The 27,060-nt window shown below is 37.9% G+C and overlaps 1 long non-coding RNA gene across 1 annotated transcript in view, besides 1 other annotated feature; it reads right to left on the bottom strand.

Moving 5' to 3' along the window:
- Nucleotides 1-27,060, bottom strand: part of LOC105371069 (uncharacterized) — a 236,274-nt gene that overhangs the window by 135,855 nt on the left and 73,359 nt on the right. The gene's annotated exons all lie outside the window — the stretch shown is intronic.
- Nucleotides 14,216-14,416: a silencer, noted in NCBI's record as "peak2491 fragment used in MPRA reporter construct". NCBI's record gives its function as "represses an SCP1 promoter by STARR-seq MPRAs in K562 erythroleukemia cells {active_cell/tissue: K562}" and the evidence as "EXISTENCE:reporter gene assay evidence [ECO:0000049][PMID:32103011]".

The raw sequence follows: 27,060 nt of genomic DNA on the forward strand, positions 1-27,060 counted from the left end.
ATGATTCAGCCTACATAGAGGAAATGGACTTGTTCTTGGACATATAGCTAATTAAAGACAAAAATTCTAGTCCATGGAAGTTCAGCCATAAGAAAGTGAGGCTCTCAGAATTAATTGATTGACTTATTGATTCATTGATCTGCTAATCCATGTATCTAATGAATACCAGCTGTGGCTCAGACCCTATGCTGGTAATTGAGATTCCCAAAATGAATATATCCTACCTTGAAGGAACTCACTGTATGGAAGACAGGAAAAAGTGCAAAAATAAAAACTGGTTCAAGATGAATAGATTCAAATGGAAGTGTAAACACAGTGTCCTAACCTCACGAAGTGGTGGCACTTATAGGAAGAAAAGACATCTTCAGACACACTTATAACCAGAGTGCTCTCTTCCTGGCCCTATGCAGAAATCAAACTGTTGTGGTCCCTGTCCTTGTGGGGCTCACAGGTTAGCAGGGAAGATAAGACACCATGCAGAAAAACTTATTGCAAGGAAGGAAATAAGGAATGTCATGAAACAGATTCAAACAGGGAGTTGAAGATTCTGGGGAGGCAGAAATGCACCCAGTTGGGGTTATCAGAAGGCCTTTCTGGAAAAGGTGGTATTGGGTCTGGTTCTGAAGCTTCTGAGCATACATAACACCCCTGGGGTACCGGGCATGGAAAGATCCCACAAACAGTAGCACATTCAGTTTGATTTTGTACCTGACTTCTTGGTGCATGTGGCATTATTAAGTTCCTAAACATAAACATATTCCTTTTAAAATCCATCTTCAAAGTAGACTAGAGTTTTAGGCCTATGGGGACTTGACATACCAAAAGAAACTTGCTGACACAAACTGGAGTATGCAGCATGATCTGTTCTAATATACGATTTTAATGTTTCTCATTTTGCAGCCGTGCCAGCCTCCATCTATCATCGACTGTCACATTTAAGTTTCCTAAATTACTGCTTTTTAACTTTTGTCACTTATTCAGCAAAGAGATATATTCTAAAGCCTGACCTCCCCCCAGCCCACCCCTGTGATTGTATCTCAATATTAATAGTGAGAGAGGGAGAAGAGAAATCTTTGCTCCACTCACAATAAGCCAAGGACCTTTTTTTAAAAAATAAAAAAAATAAAAAAAGAAAGAAAGAAAATAAGAGCAAAACATGTTTCTGGTTTCAAATTCAAACATTGATAGAATTCTGTCACCTCTCAATGATTTGGCATGAAAAACATAAAACCAGTAGGAATTGGAAGAATAGAATGTATTGAGAGTTGCAATTAAAGGAGAGAGGCAGGGAGGGAAGGAAAGAGGGAGGGAGAGAGACAGAGAGAAAGAGAGAGAGAGAGCAAGCGAGAGAGAGAGCGAGAGAGAGCTCTTTGTAACATTTCTGCATAAAAGATCAAAGGAAATATCTCCCTCTTCTCCAAAATGTAGGAGGGAAGGAGCCACACATTTCTAGACTCACACGCTGAGAAAGAAATAAGTGTGTTGTAGGCTCTGCTTTAACATTACTATCCTGTGTTTTTTTAATCTGACCTCCAGTTGATCACCTCTAAAGGTGCCGTGATGTTAGGTGAACTTCCTGGGTGGATTCAGCTTTTTCCATCAAATGGAAATGACTTATGGTGGTTAAAAGTGTGAACTAAGCACAGATGATGTGAGATAAAGACACTTATTGTAGGATGACCACATACTCTGCTTTTCCCAAAATGAGCTCCAGTTGACACCTGTTTTCCCAGCATTTCACCTAGTTAGTATTCTTTTTTACTAGTGTCCTGGTTTAGACAATGAATTACATGTTCACCCTGCTTATGGGTGAAATACACTCAGCATACAAAGCCCACAGCACAGCGAAGAGAACACTAAGAAACACGGAGATGCCACAGTGTATGTGGAGCCAGGTGAGTAAGGTCAGTCTCTCTCTCCTTATCCAAGGACAAGAGGCCAATATCTGTTCAAGTTGCTCTGTGTGACTCTCCCTATAGACCAGTTTAGTAATATTAAACCTGAGAAGGTGCTTGGTAAACCCCCAGTACTTTTCAGAGAATAGTCCTTTGGTAATATTATTGGAAGCTACTCATCTGTTGGAGTAGCATGCAATCAGCAACTCATACTTGTCCAATGGGAAAAATATGCTTAACTATCAACTCCTGATCTCTGTTCATTCAATCTCCATTAGAGACACCACAGGCTCTCTGTCCATGTTTTTAAAAAGAAATGAGAGCTTCTGGTTCTAGCTAAGATGAAATAAGGACATTCCATTCCGTCTTCCCCACTGATTGCAACTCAAGACTCAAAATAGAATATATAAAGAAACTATGTGCTCATTCTGGAAAGCAAATGATTTCAAGGAAATTGGGCAGGAAAATTAAAACTCAAAGTATAATTCATAAGCTGGAGAGTATTCTAGATATTTTTTTCACCTGTATTCAAGGTTTAAACTGGAGAGCAACCTAAATCCCAGAACTACACAGTATATGTGGACAGAAAAAACTCTAGGAGAAACCCTCTCTGTCTTGTCAGAGGATGGAAAGGGGGACATCTGCAGAGGGGAAATATGGAAGGAATCCTTGTGTGGCCTTTTCCCTCTTTTTACTCCCCAGGTCCCGCGCCCAACGCAAACACCAGTCAGGAACATATTGTCCTGTAGCAGCAGTGGCAACAGCAGACCTGCAGGCCTTTAAAAATTATCCGAGATAAAATATTTCTCTCTGACAAGAGAAACTGAAAACAATAAAAAGCTCTGTGTTCTGAAGATAGTGAGGGGATTTTTGTTATCTCTCTCTCTCTCACTCTCTCTCTAAATCACTGCTTTCAGCCTTACTGGAACCTAGGTACAAGAAAAGTGTGGCAGTAAAGGAGACTAAAACCCAAATTTTCTAGTTAAAAGACCAGGAAAAGGAGCCCACAGATGCCAGTGAATATAGATGGATTCACAGAGAGGTAAGAATTAGAAAAAATAGGTACTGTAAATCTCTACGTGACATCCTGGCCTCACTGCTGAACATATGTCTGGAATTGACCTGACACAACACAGAAAATGCTTTGAAAAGTGAACTAGAGAGTAGAAACACTATCCAGGGTCTATATTGGTCTCTGGGTAGTACCCTTATGGGGAGGACCAAAAGGCACCTCCAGCTGATCAAAGCCTTTGAAAACTTAACTGACATAGAACCACAGACACGGAAGTCAGGTCAGGACTTGTGATCTGAACCTAAGAAAGTTAGGACCAGCTAAATAAAGAATACCCATCCTATCTACATAATTTTAACAGGATCCAGATTCTCATAGCCTAATCTTCAAAGTCACCAGGAAATCATTCAAGTTAGACATTAGAGGAACCAGTACAATATCAATGACTCAAGGAAGGAGACAATCTACAGACACTAATTCTGAGATGGTCCACATTTTGAAATGATCAGACAGACTTTAAAGTAGTCATTATAGACATGTCCTATGAAACAGCAGTGACCAATTATTAAATAAATGGTAAGATAGACAGATTCAATGGAGAATAAAAACTCTAAAGAGAATTCAGTAGAAATTTCAAAAATAAAAATTATAATAACAAAATAAAACAAAAAATAATTGGATCATAAAGGTGATAAAGGAAAAATTCTTTGAACTTGAACACAGATCAAGAAATCTTATCCAATCTGAAAAACAGAAAGAAAAAATGTAAAAACATAAGTCGAACAGTCTTAAAGACCAGTAGAACAATATACAAGATCTAAAATTTTTATCACTGGGGTTCTAGGAGAAGAGGAGAAAGAATTGGTTCAGAAGAAAAAGATTGAGAATGTAATGGCTGAAAACTTTCCCAAAAAGTGAAAGATGTACATCTACAACTTCAAAAACCCAAGTGACCCTTAAAACAGAATAAACTCGAAATAAACCATGCTCAGAAAAATTATAATCAAAGCACTGAAAACTACAAATAAAGAAAAATTCCCAAAGCAGAAACAAAAGTGATGCATTATATTCAAATGAGTTATAGATTTATCATCACAAACCATAAAGAACAGAAGATAATGTAACAGCATTTTTACCATGCTGGGAGGAGAAAAAGAAAACTGTCAACCCCAAATGTTATATCCAGCAAAAATATTTCTTAGGAATATTCTCATATAAAGTAACAAAACAAATGTATATGTATATGCATCTAAAAACAGCAATTCAAAATACATAAAGCAAAATATCATAGAACTGAAAAAAGAAACAGACTAATTCTAAATTATGTTTGAAGACATTAACACTCCTATCTCAGCAAACATTAGAACAAATAGAGAGGCCGGGCGCGGTGGCTCACGCCTGTAATCCCAGCACTTTGGGAGGCCGAGGCGGGTGGATCATGAGGTCAGGAGATCGAGACCATCCTGGCTAACAAGGTGAAACCCCGTCTCTACTAAAAATACAAAAAATTAGCCGGGCGCGGTGGCGGGCGCCTGTAGTCCCAGCTACTCGGGAGGCTGAGGCAGGAGAATGGCGTGAACCCGGGAAGCGGAGCTTGCAGTGAGCCGAGATTGCGCCACTGCAGTCCGCAGTCCGGCCTGGGCGACAGAGCGAGACTCCGTCTCAAAAAAAAAAAAAAAAAAAAAAAAGAACAAATAGAGAAAAAAAGTACATATGTAAAACACTACCACTCAACTTGACCTAAGCTACAATTATAGAACATTTTATCCAACAACAGTGGAATATATATTATTTTCAAATTTACATGGAACATTCACCAAGATAGAACGCATTCTGGGTCACAAAACCATACATTCATGACAAAAGAACAAATCTTTCAGCAAACTAGAAATAAAAGAAAACTTTCCTAATCTAATAAAGACCACTTATATAAATTCTTAAAACAGTGCTATATTATAATTGTGATAGTGGTAACGCAAACCTACACATGAGATAAAATTGCATGAAATGACATACATATGCACACGTGCACACACACAAATGTACATAAAACTGGGGAAATCTGAATAAATTTTGTGAATTAAACAAACGTCAATTTCCTGGGTTCAAGATTGCATTATAAGACCCGGTGCAGTGGCTCATGCCTGTAATCCCAGCACTTTGGGAGGCTGAGGTGGGCGGATTGCCTGAGGTCGGGAGTTTGAGACCAGCCTGGCCAACATGGTGAAACCCTGTCTCTACTACAAATACAAAAATTAGCCTGGCACAGTGGCACATGCCTGTAATCCCAGCTACTCAAGAGGCTGAGGCAGGAGAATCGCTCGAACCCGGGAGGCGGAGGCTGCAGTGAGCCGAGATTGTGCCATTGCACCCCAGCCTGGGCAACAGAGGAAGATTTCAGCTCAACCACAACAACAAAAACAAAAAGATTGCACTGTAGTTATGCAAGGTGTTAACTTGGGGAAAACTGGGAGAATACATGGGACCCATCTGTGCATTTTTTGCAACTTTCTGTGAATCTATCATCATTTTCAAATAAAAAGTTAAAACAAAACAAAAACATATGGCTAGCATTAAATCAGTGGTGAAAGACTGAATGTTTTCCCTCTTACATTGGGAATAGGCAAGGATGTTCACTCACCATTTCTATTCAACATGGTACTAGAATAAGTTAAATGCAATAACATAAGAAAAATAAATAAAACTCATACAGATTGAAAAGAGGAAGTTAAATTGTTTCTATTCTCAGCAGATGTAATTGTCTGTGTAGAAAATTGCAATGACTCCACACCAAAGCTCTTACATATAAGAAGTAAAGTTAGCTTCCGTATACAAGGTCAATATGCAAACATCAATCTTATTTCTTTACCCTAATAATGAACAATTAGAAACTAAAATTTAAAATATAATATCATTTACAATAGTTTAGAAAATAAAATAACTAAGTATATATCTAGCAAAGTGTGTGCAAAAGTCCAGAACGTGGATGAAAGAAATCAAAGACCTAAATAAACAGAGGGATATATTGTGTTTACGGATTTGAATACTCAATGTTGTCAATTCTTTATAAATGAATCTATAGATTTAACAGTCATAGTAGAAGTCCTAGCAATTTTGGGGGTAGATATTGACAAAATTATTATGAAATGTATATGAAGAGGTAAGGAACTAAAAAAACCTAAACAATTTTGAAAAAGAACAACATTAGAGGACTCACAGTGTATGATTTTAGGACTTTCTATAAAACTACAATAATGAAGACAGTGTGGTATTGGAGAAAATGTAGATACGTAGTAGGATCAATGGAACAGAACAGAGAGTCCAGAAATAGACCCAGCACATGGGGTGCATTGATGTTTCACAGAGGTACAAAGGCAATTTAGTAGAGAAAGAATAGACTTTTCAACAACTAGTCTGGAACAACTGGACACCTATACACCAAAAAAAAAAAAAAAAAAAAAAGAATGTTGTTTTATACCAAACACCTTTATGACAAAGTACTGAAAGTGGATTTTAGTCCTAAATATAAAATGTAAAACTGTAACACTTTTAGAAACAAAAAACATCAAAATCATCATGATGATGGGTAATGCAAAAAATTCTTAATATAGCATGAAAAAATACATAAAATAAAACTGATAAATTAGGCTGGGCACAGTGGCTCACACCTGTAATCCCAGCACTTTGGGAGGCTGAGGCAGGTGGATCACTTGAGGTCAGGAGTTCATGACCAGCCTGGCCAACATGGAGAATCCCCATCTCTACTAAAAACACAAAAATTAGCTAGGTGTGGTGGCACAAACCTGTAATCCCAGCTACTCAGGGGGCTGAGGCACAAGAATCTCTTGAACCCAGGAGGTGGAGGTTGCAGTGAGTCGAGATCACGCCACTACACTTCAGCCTGGGCGACAGAGTGAGATTCCATCCCAAATAAATGAATAAATAAATAAATAAAAATTAGCCTTAATAAAAATGAAAAACTGTTGTTCTGAGAGAGACGTCATTAAGATAATAAGAACATAAATTACAGCATAGGCTGGGCGCAGTGACCCACGCCTCTAATCCCAGCACTTTGGGAGGCTGAAGTGGGTGGATCACCTGAAGTCAGGAGTTTTAGATCAGCCTGACCAATATGGTGAAACCCCGTCTCTACTAAAAAGTACAAAAATTAGCCGGGCGTGGTGGCACGAGCCGGTAGTCCCAGCTACTCAGGAGGCTGAGACAAGATAATTGCTTGAACCCGGAAGGCAGGGTTTGCAGTGAGCTGAGATCGCGCCACTGCTCTCCAGCCTGGGTGACAGCAAGATTCCATGTCAAAATAAATGAATAATTAAATTACAGAATGGGAGAAAATATTTGCTAATGGCACATCTGAAAACTTATATTTAGACTATACACTCACAGATTTATGTGTATATTTATATTTATATGTTGTACGTGTATAGTCAAATCAACAATAAGATAGACAACCGAATAAAAATCGATATGAAAATCGAACAGATATAATAACTTATCACAGCACACCTTTTAGAGTGCCTTTGAATAAAATAACAATACCAAGTGTTAACAAGGTAGCAGAGCAGCTGAAACTCTCACACATTGCTGGTGGGACTGCAAAATGATATAGCTACTCTGAAAAGTATTTTCATAGTCTCTCATGAGGTTAAATATACCCTTATATTATGACCAAGCAATACTACTAGTAAGTATTTATCACACAGAAATGAAAGCAGAGGTTCACACGGAAACTTTCTCATGAACGTTTATAACAGTGTTATTCATACAATTCTAAAACTGGAAACAGCTCCAGCCTCCTGCAGCAGTAGAGAATGGATTAAAAACAAAATGATTCATCCATGCAATGGAATCATACTCAGCATTTTATTGTTGGTGTACACTACATGGGTGAATGCATTATGTTTAGTTAAAGAAGTCACTATCAAAAGATTATTCATTGTAAAATACCATGCATATAACATTCCAGAAAGGGAAAAACTCCAGAGAGAGAGAGAGAGAAACAGATCAGTGGTTGGCAGGGGTTATGGGCTGATGAAAAGTTTGACTGCTAAGGGGCAGCACCAGGAAATGGTGGAGTTGAGAGAACTGTTTTGTGTCCTACTGTGAATGAGGTCACATGTCTCTGCATTTGTCAACATTAGCAGAATTGTACATCAAAAAACGAATTATACAAGATGTACATTAAATTTCACTGTGTGTAAATTTAAGAAATTAAATAGTGACAGTGGAAAAAATAGTCCTAGGATCAGTTAGATCACAAGATTGTGTCTCCTCAATTCTGAGCTCTTTAAACCACCCTGGCCCGCACAACAGACACCCAGCAGTGACATAAAAAGAAATGGTCTAAGGTTGCAGACATGGTCCCGTGTGCTGGAAATAGGAGCATCAGTTGACTTTACTAATAGTCAGAGTAGGAGGATTTGGTTACGTTTTCTAAAATTTGCAAGTCTAGAGCAAAACAATTTATGTCTTATGAAGGGACAAGTTTCAAAAATGGACTCTCAATAACATTAACAGGGTGACTATAGTCAATAATAATTGTATATTTTAAAACAACTTTAAGAATGTAACTGAAGGGTGAGGCAGGTGGATCACGAGGTCAGGAGATCGAGACCATCCTGGCTAACATGGTGAAACCCCGTCTGTACTAAAAATACAAAAAATTAGCCAGGTGTGGTGGTGGGTGCCTGTAGTCCCAGCTACTCAGGAGGCTGAGGAAGGAGAATGGCATGAACACAGGAGGCGGAGCCTGCAGTGAGCCGGGATCGTGCCACTGCACCCCAGCCTGGGCGACAGAGAGAGACTCCGTCTCAAAAAAAAATGTAATTGGATTGTTTGTAACACAAAGGATAAATGCTTGAGTGGATGGGGAACCCCATGTTATATGATGTGATTATTATGCATTGCATGTCTGTATCAAAACATCTCATGTACCTCTCAAATATATCCACCTACTATGTAACCACAAACATTTTTAAAAATAATAAAAAAAATTTTAACTTAGCTTAAATTCAGGTGGAAACTCCATCCACCTCAGAAGTAACCACTATTCCAAATGATGTTCATTATTTTACTTGATTTAAAAGAAATAGTGCTTGCACGCATACACATAATTTAGCTTAATTCGTTAATATACTTTTTTAAAATAGTATCAAACTATATCTTGCTTGTGGGACTTTGTTTTTCAAACAATGCTCCTAAATCAAACCCATAATGATTTGTTCAGCATTCATTTTCATGGCTGTATGGTACTTTATTGTATGAATATATCTAAATTTATTTACCTATTTTCTTCTTCTGGAATTTAGGTTGTTTCCAAGTCTGTTTGTCTATTTGTTTTCACAGTAGATAATGCTGCTAGGACCAATCTTATATGTGTTTCCAGGGAGTCATGTGGGAACATTTCTCTGGAGTAAAATTGCTAGGCATAGAATTGCTAAGTTGTGAAGTATATGCAAATATCAAATTTCACAATATAATATAAACTTGTTTGCCAAAGTGCTTGGACAAAATTATACTCATACCAAAAGTTTATAAAGTAATCCTCTTCATCAATACCCTTTCCTACCCTTATGATTATTAAGACTTTTTAAGTTTTGCCAACCTACTGGGCACAAATGTTATTCTCACTGGGGCTTCTTTTACATTTATTTGTTTTCTAATTTTTTTCATATTATGGAATACATTAAAATTATCACATTGTTCCTTGTTCTTTCATAAGTAACAGTAAGACTGCTCTCATCTAGAAGTGACTTACCCAGCAGATTTGGACATTTCAGATCCCATGTGGGTATACTGAGGGTTGAAGGGATTAATATCTCATTCTACTAATATACCAAATAAGTTGGGGAGGTCTGGATAAAGAATAAAATGGATAATGGTGCCTAGGAGAACTGGAGAACTGTCTACAGACCCAATTAATTACCCACATGAGACTGACGACTTTCATACACACGCAGATAAGTTCAGATGTTGATGGGAACAAGGAGGATAGAAATTCTTTCTAAGGAGACTTCTCCTTGATGTATTTTCTGCTAAAAATTGTGTAATGTGCAGTTGCCAAAGTCTTGGGCCCTCAGCATCATTGAGCAAGTGTAACAGCATGGGGTTTCCCAGCCCTATAATTCGCTTTCACAAGACAAATGATTCTATATTTCTCAAAGCTATTGTTAGTTGGGCCTTTGTTGCATACAGTCTAACATGTTGCTAATTGATATACATCTCAATATTTGTTGAACACCTCCTATTGTCTTAGCACTAGACATCTTAATAATGTCAATAAATAGAGAAAAAAGTGCACCTCCAACCACTGTCATCAAGAAGTGATATGTAAGAATAAAAGATAATGGTAATAATAATATCCATCATTCTTGAGAGACTTCTTTTTTTTTTTTTTGGTAGAATCTTGCTGTGTCCCCCAGGTTGGAGTGCAATGGCGTGATCTCGGCTCACTGCCACCTCCGCCTCCCCAGTTCAAGTGATTCTCCTGCCTCAACCTCCTGAGTAGCTGGGATTACAGGTGTCCACCAGCATCCCTGGCTAATTTTTGTATTTTTTGGTAGAGACAGGGTTTCACCATGTTGATGAGGCTGGTCTCGAACTCCTGACCTCAGGTGATCCACCTGCCTCGGCCTCCCAAAATTCTGGGATTACAGGCATAAGCCACCATGCCCAGCCTATTGGGAGACTTCTAAGGGTCATATTCCTTATTTCTGTCATGTTTATAAGCAATCAGGCAACTGGGGACATGCATGTAGCCTAGACAAGTAACTTGATGTTCAGCTGACTTCTGTCATACCAAGATCATCTAATAAGTTAGTGGTAGAATATGTGTTCGAGACAGGTTTATGAAGCTCCAAAACCCACACTCTTTCTCCTAAGACTTTTTCATCCACTTCTACCACTAACTTATTCCCTGACTCAGCTTCGCAATGACACAATAGAATTCACATATGAAAGAAACATTCTGACACCAGTAATTCAAGACAAATGCTACAGTAAGACCTGTGCACCAGCTGCAAATGGCGCATTGGCATAAGGTAACTGTACTCAGGTGGGAATTCTTACATCTTCGTTTGCCTAGATTAGTCCTGGTTTATTTCTGTTGTCCCATCCAGTTAGTGGCTCTGTTAACTCTCAAAAGTGTCCCAGTTTTCCTTTCTATAGGAAACATCAGGATGACATCCATGTACATGAAAGTCATGGTTTGCACCAAGAATTAATGTCTTATGGGCTAATGTTTCCACTCAGTTGTCATCATTGTCATCAACGTGTTTCTTGATGTCTGTCATAAAGTGTCACTATAGATGTTTGCATGTTCCTCTATTTTTCTGCAGCTGAATATGTTAAGGAGAAAATAGGGTGTTTGTGACTTTTCTTAAGCTGAAAATCATTTTGAAGTTGCGAGCAACTCCTTTAAGAATTAATTTAACAGTCTGATCACAAGCAAAGGATTGCCACTTTGCAATCAGCTTTCTGGAGTTTTGAGAGATGACATTTAAAGAGCTGGAGATTTCTCAGCACTGCAGCATTTACAGGTGCAGCCAACACATTGTTATCTTTGCTTCTGAAATTCAGGCAGCACATGGATAATTAAAATATATAGAAAACTCCCAGCCATATTTTACTCTTAAGAGATGCAGTAGAATATTATAGTTAGGCGTTCAATTGGATGTAAGATTAGAGATGGGAGGACATAGTATTACTCGGAGATGGTCTCTGTAGGCAAACTGCCTGGGTTTGAATTTAGATTATCCCACTAACCAATCATGTGGCCCTCTTCAAGGTATTTAATTTATTTATGAAATATCAATTTTAATAAGACACGGAGACTCTACTGAAAATTATATGATAGAACATATGCAAAGCAGTTGGGATAGTTCCCTAGCCTATAGCAAAAATTTGATCTTATCATTGTTAACTTAAAGAGAGATGGAGGCAGTGCAATACACATCTGGATTCTAGAGATGAGGGTCAAACACTGGGGAAAGTGAGTATCAATATCTATTTTTACCTTTATATCTAATTATGCAGAAATTCATGTCAATGAAACATTGAAATGCATCTTTCAATCTCCTTCACTTTTTGTTATCATCTCTTTCACCAGCCTAGTTGTAGCCACCAGTATCTCTACCCCATAGCTTCTTTTTTTTTTTTTTTTTTTTGGATGAAGTTTTGCTCCTGTTGCCCAGGCTGGAGTGCAATGGCATGGTCTCGGTTCACTGCAACCTCCGCCTCCCGGGTTCAAGCGATAAGCGATTCTCCTACCTCAGCTGGGATTACAGGCATGCGCCACCAGGCCCAGAAATTTCTTATTTGTATTTTTAGTAGAGAAAGGGTTTCACCATGTTGGCTAGGCTGGTCTCAAACTCCTGACCTCAGGTGATCCACCCAACTCAGCCTCCCAAAGTGCTGGGATTACAGACATGAGCAATAGTGCCTGGCCTCCATAGCTTCTTTTATTAGTCATGTTGCATCATCCACTTCTTCTCTCTTCCAACCCCTTATGAACAGAGTAGCTAAGTGGCTTCTGGAAAAGTAAACATAATCATGAAACTTGGTTGTGTAAAGCCCTTCGTTGTCTTCCCACGGCTCTCCTGATGTGCTCAATAGGGTCTGGGTAAATCCATTTTACTGCCCTTCCAGGTTTGTCAGGTACCAATTTGCCACTTGCCTACCATACTCACTCCATATATATTCTCAATTCCTTATTGAAGGCCTCCCCCACTGAAGAACCTGGGACATGTACCCCTCACTAACTCTCTTGTCTTCTGTGTACATCTCAATTATTATTAAGTGTCAGTTTAAATGGTGTGTCTCCCAGGGACCCTCCCCTTATCACTCAGACACAGGCAGCTATCCTGTTTTTTGGTCTCCAAAACTGCATTTCCTACAACCTATTCCTTGCTTAATAACTTTAATTAGTTACTGAAACCCAGCCACTAAATAGAAATACAAAAATGAAATATTTACATTGATATTAATGGGAAAATTATTGGTAGTTCTGTATCAAATCAGTATATCTAAATAATTCATACAGCTAGGAATAGCATATAGGAATTGAATGATAAGAAAGTAAGGAATAAGCAATAGCTTGAAAGTAAATAAACAGTCTGCATGTGGAATGTAATCTAATGAAGATTTTACCAGTCAGGGTAGAAAGAAGAGCTGACTGTGGATAACAGCTAGAAAAGCAGTGAGAGGAAAAGGAAATTATTTGGAAGAATTCTTTCTCCTGTATAAATGTCCCAACATTTTGGGGGAACTCATGCTACCTTTCACTCAAACTGCACTTAAAAGCAAAGTTATAGCACAGAAAAATATCTTTATAGCAAAATTAAGACTAAACACAAAAGTCTTTAGTTTTTGCTCTGAAATAATACTTAAGTAAAAAGAACATATGAGTAAGATGCTATATCATCATCCCTCTCACTTGGCATATGCAAGATATTTGAGGTTCATGTAAACATTGCACATAATTCAAATTTGTTACACATGACATTCTCTTACTAGAAATTCTTATGAAGAGAAAATGGATTGTAATGTCCAAATATAACTGCTTAAAATGTGCTTTATGAGAAATTTTACTGAAAGAAAGGGTTTTATTAAGCTAAAAGTAGTATACATTTTCAAAACAGCTTATAACTTCAAACTTTTAAATTATATATGTAATACATGTGTGTATAATTGTGTTAGTTCTAATTTATAACTTTAAGTCAATAACTAAGATATAATTCTCTAAGGTAAGTCTATAATTACACATTTACTTGCATAAATATTTGTTTAATATTCCATCTCTACCACTAGAGAATAAACTCCATGAAGGGAGTTTACTGTTGTATTCCTGGCACCTGGCACAGTGCAATAAACAATGTCTTAGGATAGTGTCCCATGGTACAGAAATCGGAACCAGGAAAAAGCAAGGTTGAATTGAAAGCAAGAAATAAGCAAGTTGGTGGAGGGATAAAGAAAGGAAAGATCTTAAACTATTACCATGAGAGAAAGGGGTGGGGGACTATGTGACAAACACACACGTCATTTTCATGCATTTTTTATACTTAAACTGGTAAATAGTTGATTGTTTTTGTTTCTGCATTTAGACCCAAAAGTAGAAAAGATGCGATCGGGTCTCTGTATAATGTCTCTTTTTCTCTCTGTCTTTCTATACAAATAAAACATCTGATGTGATGGTTGTTGCGGGAAGTGACAAGACTCAATAAATGGCTTGCATATTTCACAGGGTAATTTATTTCTCAAAATACAAATGAACAATATAAGTTGTTATGTGTGCCATTAGCTCAGTGTGTGATGCCACTACAACATATATGCTAAATCATGTGCGAGCTTTGTAACACCTTCTCTCCTGGTTTCAGCACCGTGGGTTTGGACAGCTCCCTTTGGCTAGGCAGGTTTGGCCTTTCTAAGCCACAAGTTCAATGAGATTCAACAAATAACCTTTGTACATGCTAAGATAATTTAAACATGAGACAATGTGACCGAAAAACCACAACCCGAAGTCTTTTCCTACAGGGTGAAGCAAAATGTGCAGCAGCTTTGAAAATGACCTTCTTAATGAAGACATAGGTTGGACTGGTAGCGAAGTTTTATTCAAGTGCGTTTCAGATTCATACCTGTTTTCAATCTAGTTAAATCGCCCCCCGCCCCACCCTGACCCCTGCCAAAAGGGAAAGAAACAAGTTTGACCTATCTTGAGCCAAAGTCACACTGTTCTGGCTGTTAAGAATATGATTAGCTTCTGAGAGTGACTGACGCCCTGGGTTTTCAATTATGTTAGAATTCTGGAATAATGGAATTTCTTATGAGGTCCATGAAAAAGTCTTATAGACTTTCAACAGCAACTTCCTTCTCCTTCCTGGGAACCAAATTTACTTCTGCCAATCAAATTCTGTTTACTGCTATCTGGACATACAGGTTTATAGTTTGGTCTATGTCAAAAGATCTGAAAAGTAGTGGTGCATTCAGTAATTCTCCTAGGTTCAAATGCCAATTGATCTTGCTTTCACGGAAGTTCATTAGTTTTTTTCCAGCATTAAAAATTCAGACAAGTATTATTTTAATGAAAATTGGTATCAGTCTAGGCCATAAGTAAAAGTAAGACCCCATTATCCATATGGAAACCTGTATTTGAATCCTAGATTCACCACTGACAAGCAGTGTGAATTTGATTATTGCTTATTTCCATGTGGTTTAATTTCCTTATCTACAAGGTGGGAATTACAGCAATATGTAATATGGCAGAGTCCCTGGCATACTACTATTAGCAGTAGTACAGAAGAATCAATGTCATGCTTGGTATTATTTTTATACTTGTAGAGTTTTTAAAATGAAATATAAAACTTAGAAACCATTTTTCAATGAAGAAACTGCTTTGGATTAATATTTTAGCCTTTCACCCAAGAAGTGGAGATGCTGAGATACGAATTCATCTCCTGTAACTTTTAGAGGCATTTTTATTGATAGAGATTGAGAAACATTATTGTAAGTTTTCCAAATTGTATATGTGGTTAAATTAAATGCTACAGTTATAATTTACACACACTTCCTGAGATAAGCCCTATGCTTTTATCAGATGCAGCTCTAATTTTTGGTTTGCATTTTTGTTGAGTTCATTACCTGGTAAACACTTATAAATACATGAATCATATTAATTTGTTAAAGAATATATACTTCCAGCCCCAGGCGTGGTGGCTTACACCCGTAATCCCACCACTTTGGGAGGCTGAGGTGGGCAGATCACTTGAGGTCAGGAGTTCAAGACCAGCCTGGCCACCATGGCGAAACCCCATCTTTACTAAAAGTACAGAAAAAAAAATTAGGCAGGCATCATGGCGCATGCCTGTAATCCCAGCTACTCGGAAAGCTGAGGCAGGAGAATCACTTGAACTCAGGAAGCAAAGGTTGTTGTGAGCCAAGATCACACCACTGCACTTCAGCCTGGGTAACAGAGTGAGACTCCATTAAAAAAAAAAAAAAAAAAAAAAAAAAAAAATATATATATATATATATATATATACTTCAGTTTGTCTTCCAATATGACTGAGAACCCTTTTACTATACTGACCCTGCCATAAATAATAACTATAAACTCCAAACAAAATAAAAACATAGCCACTTGAAGGCACTTGGAAACAAACAAACAAAACATGCATAGATACATGAAAAGAATCATTATTTGAAAGAAGGGAATGACACTGGGTGAGTTTCCCATTTTCACAGCTTCTAGCTGATGGCAAGCACCCCAGCATGCTATGCTGGGTGATTAAAAGTCCAATGGAAAAACCGCAGTATGTTTTACCTAACAAACCAGAGGATAGAGATTGGGAGAATCATAGCTACAAAAAGTGAAAAGGGTTCCAAAAACAGAGAAATAAGAGGAGGACTCTAGGTTTTGAATATAAACTTTACCTGAATCCCTGACTGACTGTTGAAATACCCATGCACAGGAAAGGCTACTAGCACGCAAGCTACAGAGAAGATAAGTAAACTGAGGTTGGAGTTGTTTCCCAAAAGGTAAAGGTTACAGTTTGAGTTCAACAACCAACTTAATTTTCTGCTAAAACAGAAGAGTTATCAATAGGCTTTGGAGGAATTTAACAAAATTTAAAGTCTTGGCAACATAATATCAAAATAGCCTCAATACAATCCAAAATTATTTACCATATTAAAAAAAGGCTAATATGATTGATTTGCACCAAAGAAAGACAATCAGTGGAGACAAACCTGGAGATGCTAAATAATTGGACATTTTTTAAAAAATTGTTTTAAAACAGCTATTATATTTATGCTCAGTGATGTAAGTAAACCTAGGTTTATAATAAATAAAAAGATAAGTATCATCAGAGATACGTAAACTATTAAAATGAAGAAAATTGATATTTTAGAAGTAAAAAAAATTTGAAATTAAAATTTACTGGATGAAATTAAGTTACATTAAAGATCATAAAGAGTTGGTAAACTTAAATATAGATCAGTGAAAAAGTATCCTATCTGTAAAACCTAGAAAAAAGTAAAAAGAAATTGAGTCTCAAGGGTCTGTAGGACAATATTGAAAGATCTAACATATGTGTAATTGAAGTCCCACTGAAAAGACGAGAAGGAATAGGGCATGGTAATTTTTTTAAGATCTAACGTCTATAAGTTTTGCACATTTGGAGGAAGAAATGAATTTACAGATTAAATACATATAGTGAAGCCCATTCAGAATAAATATAAAAATTTCATGTCCAGAAATACCGTAAATTGTTAAAAGCAAGAATAAAGAAGCTTAAAACCCGCCAGAGGAAAAATATGACATACAGGGAAATTATTATTGACTTCTCATTAGAAACAATGGAGACCAGAAGATGATGTAGTAACATTTTTAAATGTTGAAAGAAAACTAAAAATAATCCAAAATTATTTTAATATATACTTTAAAAATTAAGATAAAATATATGTATTTCCAGATAAAAGAAAACTAAGATAACCCATTGACAGCAGATGTCCAGTATAAAAAACCCTAAAGGAAGTTTCTCAGGGTGAAAACAAATGATGCCTGTTGGTAACTCAGTTTTTAGAAAAAGGGAGAAAAACACTGGAAATGATATTTAGGTAAACATAAATGACTATTTTCAACTTAATTTCTTAAAAATACCGGTTTCTTAAAAAAAAATAAAAAGAACTTTTAGGTTCAGGAGTACATGTGCACGTTTGTTACATAGGGAAACTTGTGTCATGGAGGTTTGTTGTACCCAGGTATTAAGCCTAGTAACCATTAGTTATTTTTCCTGAGCTTTCCCCCTCTCACCTTCCACCCTCCAAAAGGCCTCAGTGTGTGTTGTTCCCCTCTATGTGTCCATGTGTTCTTATCATTTAGCTCCCACTTATAAGTAAGAACATGCAGTATTTGGTTTTCTGTGCCTCTGTTAATTCACTTAGGATTATGGCCTCCAGCTCCATCCATGTCCCTGCAAAGGACATGATCTCATTCTTTTTTATGGCTGCATAGTATTCCATGGTATATATGTACCACATTTTCTTTATCCAGTCTATCATTGACGGGCATCTGGGTTGATTCCACGTCTTTGGTATCATTAATAGTGCTGCAATGAACATACTCGTGCATGTGTCTTCATAATAGAATAGTTTATATTCCATGGGTTACATACCCAGTAATGGGATTGCTGGGTCAAATAGTATCTGTTTTGAGGTCTTTAGATAACAGATGCTTAGTAATTTGGAGTTGAATGAAAAAAATAGGGAGAGTAAACAGAAAGTTGCATCAAAGAGAAAAATGAGTGATGCTGGTTACTTTGATTCTGATGACCATTGTATTTGTAGAACTCAGACATGGTGATTTCATAATAAACCAAAGGGTCATTTTAAAAGCCTGTCTTGTATGTCGACTAAATTCAAGGAACTTTGTAGATGTTCAGTATATAGTGGTATTGAGCAGGACCCTGGCTTACAAACAGATGGCACATTCAAAAAAGGGTGATGAAAAGCAGTTTAATGAATGTATTCCTTATATTGTGTTGGAAATCAGTCAACAGGGGATGCAAGAGTATCCTGAAGCAAGCAACAAGGGGAATGCCATTATCACCCCTAGATTACTCCACCAGGGGAAAGTGAGGAAAGTCACTGCTAAAGCCTGATGAGAGCTGTAGTTGTGCAATGAGCCTGTCTGGTGGAAGCTGTGGTCTTGGTTAGAGGAACCCAGCTATACTAATGAACATAAAACCATAGTAAACATACTAAACCATAGTCTAGGAGGAAGAAAACTGGGAAATAAACATTGTAGCATCTCTCTCCTCTCCTACTTCATCTGATCTCCCACCAGTCCCTCCCATGGGCTTAACTAAACTAGGGGCTAGAAGGCAAGGAAGCCCAATTGGTGCAGCCTCTTAGGGCTTCAGTGAACAAAGCAAAGTGGGGATGGTTAGAAGGCAGATCCTTTCAACAAATGGGGGAGAAGGAGAACACAGCAGACAAAGCCCCTATCTTTTCAATATCTGTAGTCGAGTTGTTAAATAACAGGACAACCATAGGCTTGGTCTTTATCACCAACACCTCAAATCACCCCCACGAAGTGATCTTGCTTGAACTATTCTATAAAACCAACATTGATTCCCTAATTATGAGCATTTTCAAATGCACAATCAAGCAGGGTGTGACCTTAACATCTCCAACCTAGGGATGCTTCATCACCAAAGAGACAGGCTGAGAAATATAAACGTAATTTGCCTAGGGTTACATGGTTAGTTATTGTGAGGACCAGGATTGGAACCAAATTTTCTGAACTTAATCTCACCAGCATTTCTTCCATTACAACTTTAAACATAAAAGTTTAAATGTGAAATGCAGGCATCTTATTTTGGTTCCCAGCGAAGTCTCTTGCAGCCTGGTTTTAGAGCATTTTACCACGTCTAGTACGTTTCCTCCGGCTCCAGTTGGATCTGCAACAAGTGTCTGCTTCCCAAGCATAGAGCACAGGCACGATGTTACATCCCGGTCGGTTTCTCAAAATCATTAACGTGCTCCTAAGAGCAACAATGCAATGAGTGTTTTTAAAATACCAGACACTGAAAAACACCTCTAAAAAAGTAATCCCAGCACTCTCGGATGCCAAGGTGTGTGGATCACCTGAGGTCAGGAGTTTGAGACCAGCCTGGCAAACATGGTTAAACCCTGTCTCTACTAAAAATACAACCAAGGAGCCAGGCGTGGTGGTGGGCACCTGTAATTCCAGCTACTCAGGAGGTTGAAGCAGGAGAATTGCTTAAACCCGGGAGGTGGAGGTTGAAGTGAGCCGAGATCACACCATTGTACTCCAGCCTGGGCAACAAGAGTGAAACTCCGTCTCAAAAAAAAAAAAGGCATTAATTCATTGAATTATTTCAAAGACCACGCAACGTGGGTAACATCATTCCCATTTTACAGATGAGAAAATTGGAGCGCCAAGACATCAAGTAACTTGCCATATGTCCTGTTATTAAGATGAGAGTATAGCCAGAAGCTGAACCTCTGTCACTGAAGCCCTGTGCTGTTAACCATTCTATCACCTTGGGGGTAAGTGAACTGAAGCCATGCCTGACCTTGGTGGCTGGTGATGTATTAGCACCAGGCTGATGGAGTGGGAGCCAATTCATAATTTATCTCTGTAAAAAAATGCTTCCTGTATTGTGCCCCTGACAACTGAACCCTTTAGCAGCATCGAGGGGAATTACGTTGGAAGAAAAATGGCATGTCTGTGAATACTACATTGTCTTCGGGTCCACTAAATTGATTTTTATTTTGAGAGATAAAATATTTCCAGGAGTGCTGTCTGCATTGGCAGGATGCCAGGGACAGTTGAACTTTTCCTTCAAGTCTTTTGGGTTAGTCCAAGCTTTCTAGTTTCAGTCTTCTTAGGGAAGCCTGTTGGTGTGGAAAGAATGTAGACATCTCTGCTCCTGTTAGAATTCATCTTTGGAATTAAAGAATGTGTGTTCTTCACATTTCTTATCAAAGAGGCCCAGCACAGGAGAAATAAAGCAACCCAGAAAGAGGGAGCTTTGCTTCTATCAAGAGAAATTACGGGCCAGGAGCCGTGGCTCACACCTGTAATCCCAGCACTTTGGGAGGCCGATGTGGATGGATCACTTGATATCAGGAGTTCGAAACCAGCCTGGCCAACGTGATGAAACCCTGTCTCTACTAACAATACAAAAATTAGCTGGGCATGGCATGCACCTGTAACCCCTGCTACTCGGGAGGCTGAAGCATGAGAATCATTTGAACCCGGGAGGCAGAAGTTGCAGTGAGCTGAGATCACACCACTGCACTCAAGCCTGGATGACAGAGTGAGACTCTGTCTCAAAATAAAAATAAAAATAAAAAGAGAGAGAGAAATTAGGGATTCAAACCTCATCTTGGAGCCTTTTAAACTGGCTGACTCCAGTGTCTTCTCTTTCATCTGCATCACTGAAATAAATATTCATAAATCAAAAAAAAAACTTGGCAAGAATACCCAACATTCACTAGGGCTTTTTTTATGTGCCAAGTACTGTCCCAACTGCCTTACATGGCTTATCGCGTTCAATCCTTGCAACCAACTGATGAGGTTGGTACAATTATCAACCACTTTTTCCAGATATGAAAACTAGAAATTTAGAAAACTAATCATGAAACCGACATTAAAATTAAATTTTAAATTTTTAAATTTAAATTTAAACTTAAAAATTTGTAGCTGGGTGCATTGACTCATGCCTGTAATCCCAGCACTTTGGGAGGCTGAGGTGGGAGGATCACCTGAGGGCAGGAGTTCGAGACCAGCCTGTCCGTCATGATGAAACCCCATCTCTACTAAAAATACAAAAATTAGCCAGGCAGGGTGGCAGTTGCCTGTAATCCCAACTGCTCAGAAGGCTGAGGTAGAAGGACCACTTGAACCTGGGAGGCAGAGGTTGCAGTGAGCCAAGATCATGCCAATGCACTCCAGCCTGAGCGACAGAACGAGACTCTGTCTCAAAAGGAAAAAAAAAGTTTTTTAAATGTAATTTAACATTAAGTATTAATCATGAAACCATGACTAAATTTCTAAAATTTAGAACTTTAATCATGAAACCAAGCAGCTCAGTATTAAAATTTATATTTTAATTTAGTTCTGGTTTGATCTCAAAAGTTGTTTTCAGCCCATCTTTGAATTACTTGTAGAAAACGTTAAATCTGCTGATACCTAAAACCCCTACTCAGAAACCCAATACAATTGATCTGGAATAAGCACTGTGCAACAATTTTCAAAACTCCCCCAGTGACTCTGATGTGTAGCTGAGAAACTATAGCACAAGAACTCAGCACAGGAGAAATAAAGTAACCCAGAAAGAGGGAGCTTTGCTTTTATCAAGAGAAATTAGGTGCCAGGAGCAGTGGCTCACACCTGTAATCCCAGCACTTTGGGAGGCCGATGCGGATGGATCACTTGATATCAGGAGTTCGAAACCAGCCTGGCCAATGTGAAGAAACCCCATCTCTGCTAACGATACAAAAATTACCTGGGCATGGTGGAGCGCACCTGTAACCCCAGCTACTCGGGAGACTGAGGCATGAGGATACATCGTATCAGCAAGCAAGCTCACTGAAACAATGATGTCACTTAATATTGGTGGGGTTTTTGTTTTTGTTTTCGTTTTTGTTTTGAGGTGGAGTCTCGCTCTGTCGCCCAGGCTGCAGTGCAGTGGTGCGATTTTGGTTGACTGCAGCCTCTGCCTCCCAAGTTCAAGTAATTCTCATGTCTCAGCATCGCAAGTAGCTGGGATTACAGGTGCCCACCACCACGCCCGACAATTTTTTATATTTTTAGTAGAGATGGGGTTTCACCATGTTGGCCAGGCTGGTCTCGAACACCTGACCTCAGCTGATCCACCTGCCTCAGCCTCTCAAAAGTGCTGGTATTACAGGCGTGAGCCAAATAATGGTGTTTATCTTCATAATACTCTACACATCACGCTACCCTCTTATAAGAAAAGGTCCAAATCCCTCTATAGATGAAGACTTGCTGAATTGTTTCTAGCAGCCAAGATATAAGGTTGACTTTTAGACATCAACTTATGCAGGAAGTGTTAATATTTCATCTTGGTGGCTCTGTAATATTTCAGGCCCATCCAACTGTCCTCGAGGCAACATTCAGAAAGAGCAATCTGAGTGACCAAGAGGGAGATTTTCTGTCACTGATAAAATATAACACACCAGCCCCACATCAAGCCTGAGTGCATTTTTACCACTGGAGCAAGCAGAGACCACCAGAAACCTAAACATTCATTCTCTAAAATAACTACTCCCACATTTTAACGGGACTCATCAGCAGAATAGAGCAGTTTTCATATTAACCATTCTGACAGAAAAAGCATCCATTTTTGTAGGGCAACAGACACTGACTACAAGATTATTCTATCACCCATCTTTAATCAGTCAAATGGGAAAAGTCTTTACTAAGGGCAATTGAGGAAAAGAAACTATTCATTGCCTAATTTATAAGCAGCATGGCTTTCAAAGGGTTTCCATTCATGGAGACCATGTTTTTATTAAAGCAGATTTAAATATAAATAAAATACAGCTAAACATCTAGGGAAATGGACTCATTGCCCATTCATTGGCCTTCCCCTGGACTCAGAAAGTCAGAATAGAAAAATGGGTCTCAAAGTTCTATTTACCAGTACATAGTTGGTAGGAAAATAAATACTAGGAGAAAGCAACAGAATTACCTAACGAGTCCTTCCACAATTAAAAATGTACATACTATTTCATGAATGAAAATGTACTATTGATTTATAAATTATAAAGTAATATATAACAGTATACCAGTCAATCACTAGAGACAGGATGCCATTGAAGGTTTCAATATTGAAACCTTTCTCGTGTAGCCTACCTTTAATGCATCCTCTTACATTCAGCCTCAAGATTTTGAATTTTGTGATGATCACATCCTCACTTTTCTTTAAAATTTTACCAGATGCTGCTTTTTCTTTTTTGTTTTTTTTTTCTATTTTATTTTACTTTAAGTTCTGTGATACATGTGCAGAACGTGTAGGTGTACATGTAGTATGTACACATAGATGTACATGTGCCATGGTGGATTGCTGCACCTGTCAACCCGCCATCTAGGTTTTAAGCCCTCCATGCATTAGGTATTTGTCCTAACACTCTTCCACCCCTTGCTCCCCCACCCCCCAACAGGCCCCGGTGTTTGGTGGTCCCCTCTCTGTGCCCATGTGTTCTCACTGTTCAAGTCTCACTTATGAGTAAGACCATGCAGTGTTTGGTTTTCTGTTCTTGTGTTAGTTTACTGAGAATGATGGCTTCCAGCTTCATCCATGTCCCTACAAAGGACATGAACTTATTCTTTTTTATGGCTGCATAGTATTCCATGGTGTATATGTGCCACATTTTCTTTATCCAGTCTATCATTGAAGTGCTTTTTCAATATGTCATTTATTTTTCAAGTTTGGGAATAATATATAAAAGAAATCATACTGTACATAATATTTTAATATTTGTTTTTGTTTTATTTCTTGCTCAAAGTATTTTGTGAGATGTATTTATGATGTGTGCAGATATTGTTTATTTTTGTTTCTGCATAATATTCCCTGGTATGAATATGCCCCAATTTATTTACCTGTTTGGCTATTGTTGGATTTGTTGGATGTTAGCAGTTTTGTTGTTCTTTTCTTTTTAGATGTCCTGCTGGAAGCAATGGAACTAACAATGTTGAAGAGGTTCCTTAGTGCATATTCCTAGAAATGGAATTGCTGGTCTCTAGGACATAAATTACTTTAACAATATTACATAATCATGAATGCATTCTAAAACCGTTGCAATGCTAACAGCAAGCAGGCGTATGCACGTACCCATTCTTCACATCCATATTTTCAGACTTTGCGATTTGGCAAAACTGGTATATATGAGTATTTTTTATTGTGGTTTTAATTTACATTTTTCTGATTACCAATGAAAATAAGCGTCTTTTTCTATTTTATTGGCCATTTGTCCTTTATCTTCTGTGGAGGCTGTTTTATGGATTTTGCCTATTTTATTATTGGTTGTTTGGTATTCCTTACTGAGTTTAGGGGACTTTTTAATGTAAACTGTCACCAACATTTTATCAGTCATATGTGTTGTTAATAACTTCAGTAGTTTGCAATATGCTTTCAGTTTTGTCGGTTAGATCTGTGTCTCATAAACAAAACTTCAAATTTGGGCATAGTCAAATTTATCAATCTTTGTCTCTGTGGCTATGATTTTAATGCCTGGATTAAGAAATTCTGTCTTATCTAGATGTCATAAAAAAGACATTCTTCTGTATTTTTCACTCTTAAAGTTTTAAAAATTTAGTTTTTTATATTTAAACATCTAATTCCCTTGAAAACATTGAAAGATGCAGCCATTCTCTCTCTCTCTCTCTCTCTCTCTCTCTCCCCTATACTCTGTTGTGCTATTGAGCTGACATTGGTTATTAAAGATGCTCTCCTTTCTTCACTGATACACAGTTGCTAATCTCTTTCACAGATAGTTTTCATAACCTGTAGGTGTTTTTATCTAGACACTTGTTTTTCTCTAATTTATTCTGATCCATTGCTCTGTTTGTACATCTCTATACCACACTCACACTGCCTTATTATACTTTTACATTAGGTCTAATTGAGTTTGGCAAGAATTCCACTTTTTATTTCATCTAGGAATGTCTTTGGCTATTTTTGGTCCTTTGTTCCTTGATATAAAACTTAAAATCATTTTATAAGTTCCACAAAAAGATGCTGTTCAGCTTTACTGGCAATTGAATTGGATCTTTTGATCAGTTTGGGGAAAAACTGGTGTTTTTCTGACATTATTAAATCTTCCTGGAACATGGAATATTTATCCATTTACTTAATTATTCTTTAAGTTTTTTCAATAAAGCTCAAATTTTCTCAAAATGATCTTGCCCGTATTTAGTTAGACTTACCCTTTGGAGCTTTGACTATTTATTCTATTTTTAAAATTTCTTTTATTTTCGTCTCTGTGACTAATTGAACTTCTTACTCACCCTACCCCAATTTTTTCCCTCCTTTTCTAGTTTGTAAGTTATGTCCTCTATTTCAACTGCATCAGTATTTATTCCAGAATTTATTGCAGGCACACTTGATAAAATCTAAATATTATCTCTATTTTTGATTTTCTACTAAATATTATATAAAACATAGAATGCATGAACTTGAATAACTTTCCTCCTAATTTATAGTATATCTTTATCAAATAGTTTTGGTCAATTTTGTTCATTTTTAACCTTACAAACGGGTATTATTTATATTGTTTTATAGCAACAATATTGTTGATATGTTTACCATTTTCTTTGATCACCATCTTTTCCTTGCTTCTAGGATCAAGTGAGTTATGAAGACAAAGAAGTGCTGTAGCTTTTGCTTCATTTGTTCACTCATTTATTTTACAAATATATTTTTATAACCTATTGGGTCAGGCACTGTGCTAGATGCTAGAAAATAAATTAGGAGCAAACAGCCCAAGTCTTCTTCTAACTTGCATTCTGGTGGAAGAGGAGACACTAATCACACAAATACAACATTACACTGAGATGAGGCTCTCTGATGGAATGGTACCAGAGTTATGGGAGTAAATGACTGGGGTTGGGGATCTCACTTGGTCTGGGACTCAGAAACAAGTTAGATTAATATGAAAGAGGAAGGTCTTACCTAAGTAAACAGGACAAGGAGTATACAAAATATGAAATAGTGGGAAAAAAATTGGGGCCAATTCCAACCAAACAAACAACATTCCAAAATCCTATATAAGAAAAGAAAAACATGGAGTATTTGGAAAACAAAAAGAAAGCCCCATGGGTGGCACATATATGGAAGGGGGAAAGGACCACACAGGAAGGATGAGACAATCCTACGTCTAAACTTAGATCTGGGCCGGGTACGGTGGCTCACGCCAGTAATCCCAGCACTTTGGGAGGCCGAGGCGGGCAGATCACCTGAGGTTAGGAGTTCGAGACCAGCCTGGCCAACAAGGTGAAAAATGGTCTCTACTAAAAATACAAAAATTAGCCAGGCATGGTGGCAAGAGCCTGTAATCCCACCTACTCAGTAGGCTGAGGCAGGAGAATCACCTGAACCCAGGATGTAAAGGTTGCAGTGAGCAGAGACTGCACCACTGCACTCTAGTGTGGGTGACAAGAGTGAAACTCCATCTCAAATAAATAAATAAACAAACTGCGACCCATTATCCTCAGATTTCCTCTCTACTCAGTATTATTCTCATTTCACAAACAGGGTGCTTGATGTTCAGAAATGCTTAGCATCAGGTGTGAGTTCCAACAGCTAGCAATTGATCAACCTGAAGTTTGAATGTATTCATCCTGTTTCCAAAGCCTATTCCCATTCTGTCTATTTGCACCACCCTGTCCCCCAGGCTGAAGAATTTGAACTTGAGCTGGGAGATATTTGATAGTTATTGAGGCAACAAGGTACCTGATGGAAGGTTCTTAGGTTTGTTGTTTTGTTTGTTTGACGTTTTGTTTTTAAGCAAAATTGACCTGGCAATGGTGGGCAGGAATCATTCATCTTTATATGCTTTGCTACCAAATGGTTTCTCATGCCTAAA

The sequence above is a fragment of the Homo sapiens genome, chromosome 16 (assembly GCF_000001405.40).
Source record: "Homo sapiens chromosome 16, GRCh38.p14 Primary Assembly".
Taxonomy (NCBI): domain Eukaryota; kingdom Metazoa; phylum Chordata; class Mammalia; order Primates; family Hominidae; genus Homo; species Homo sapiens.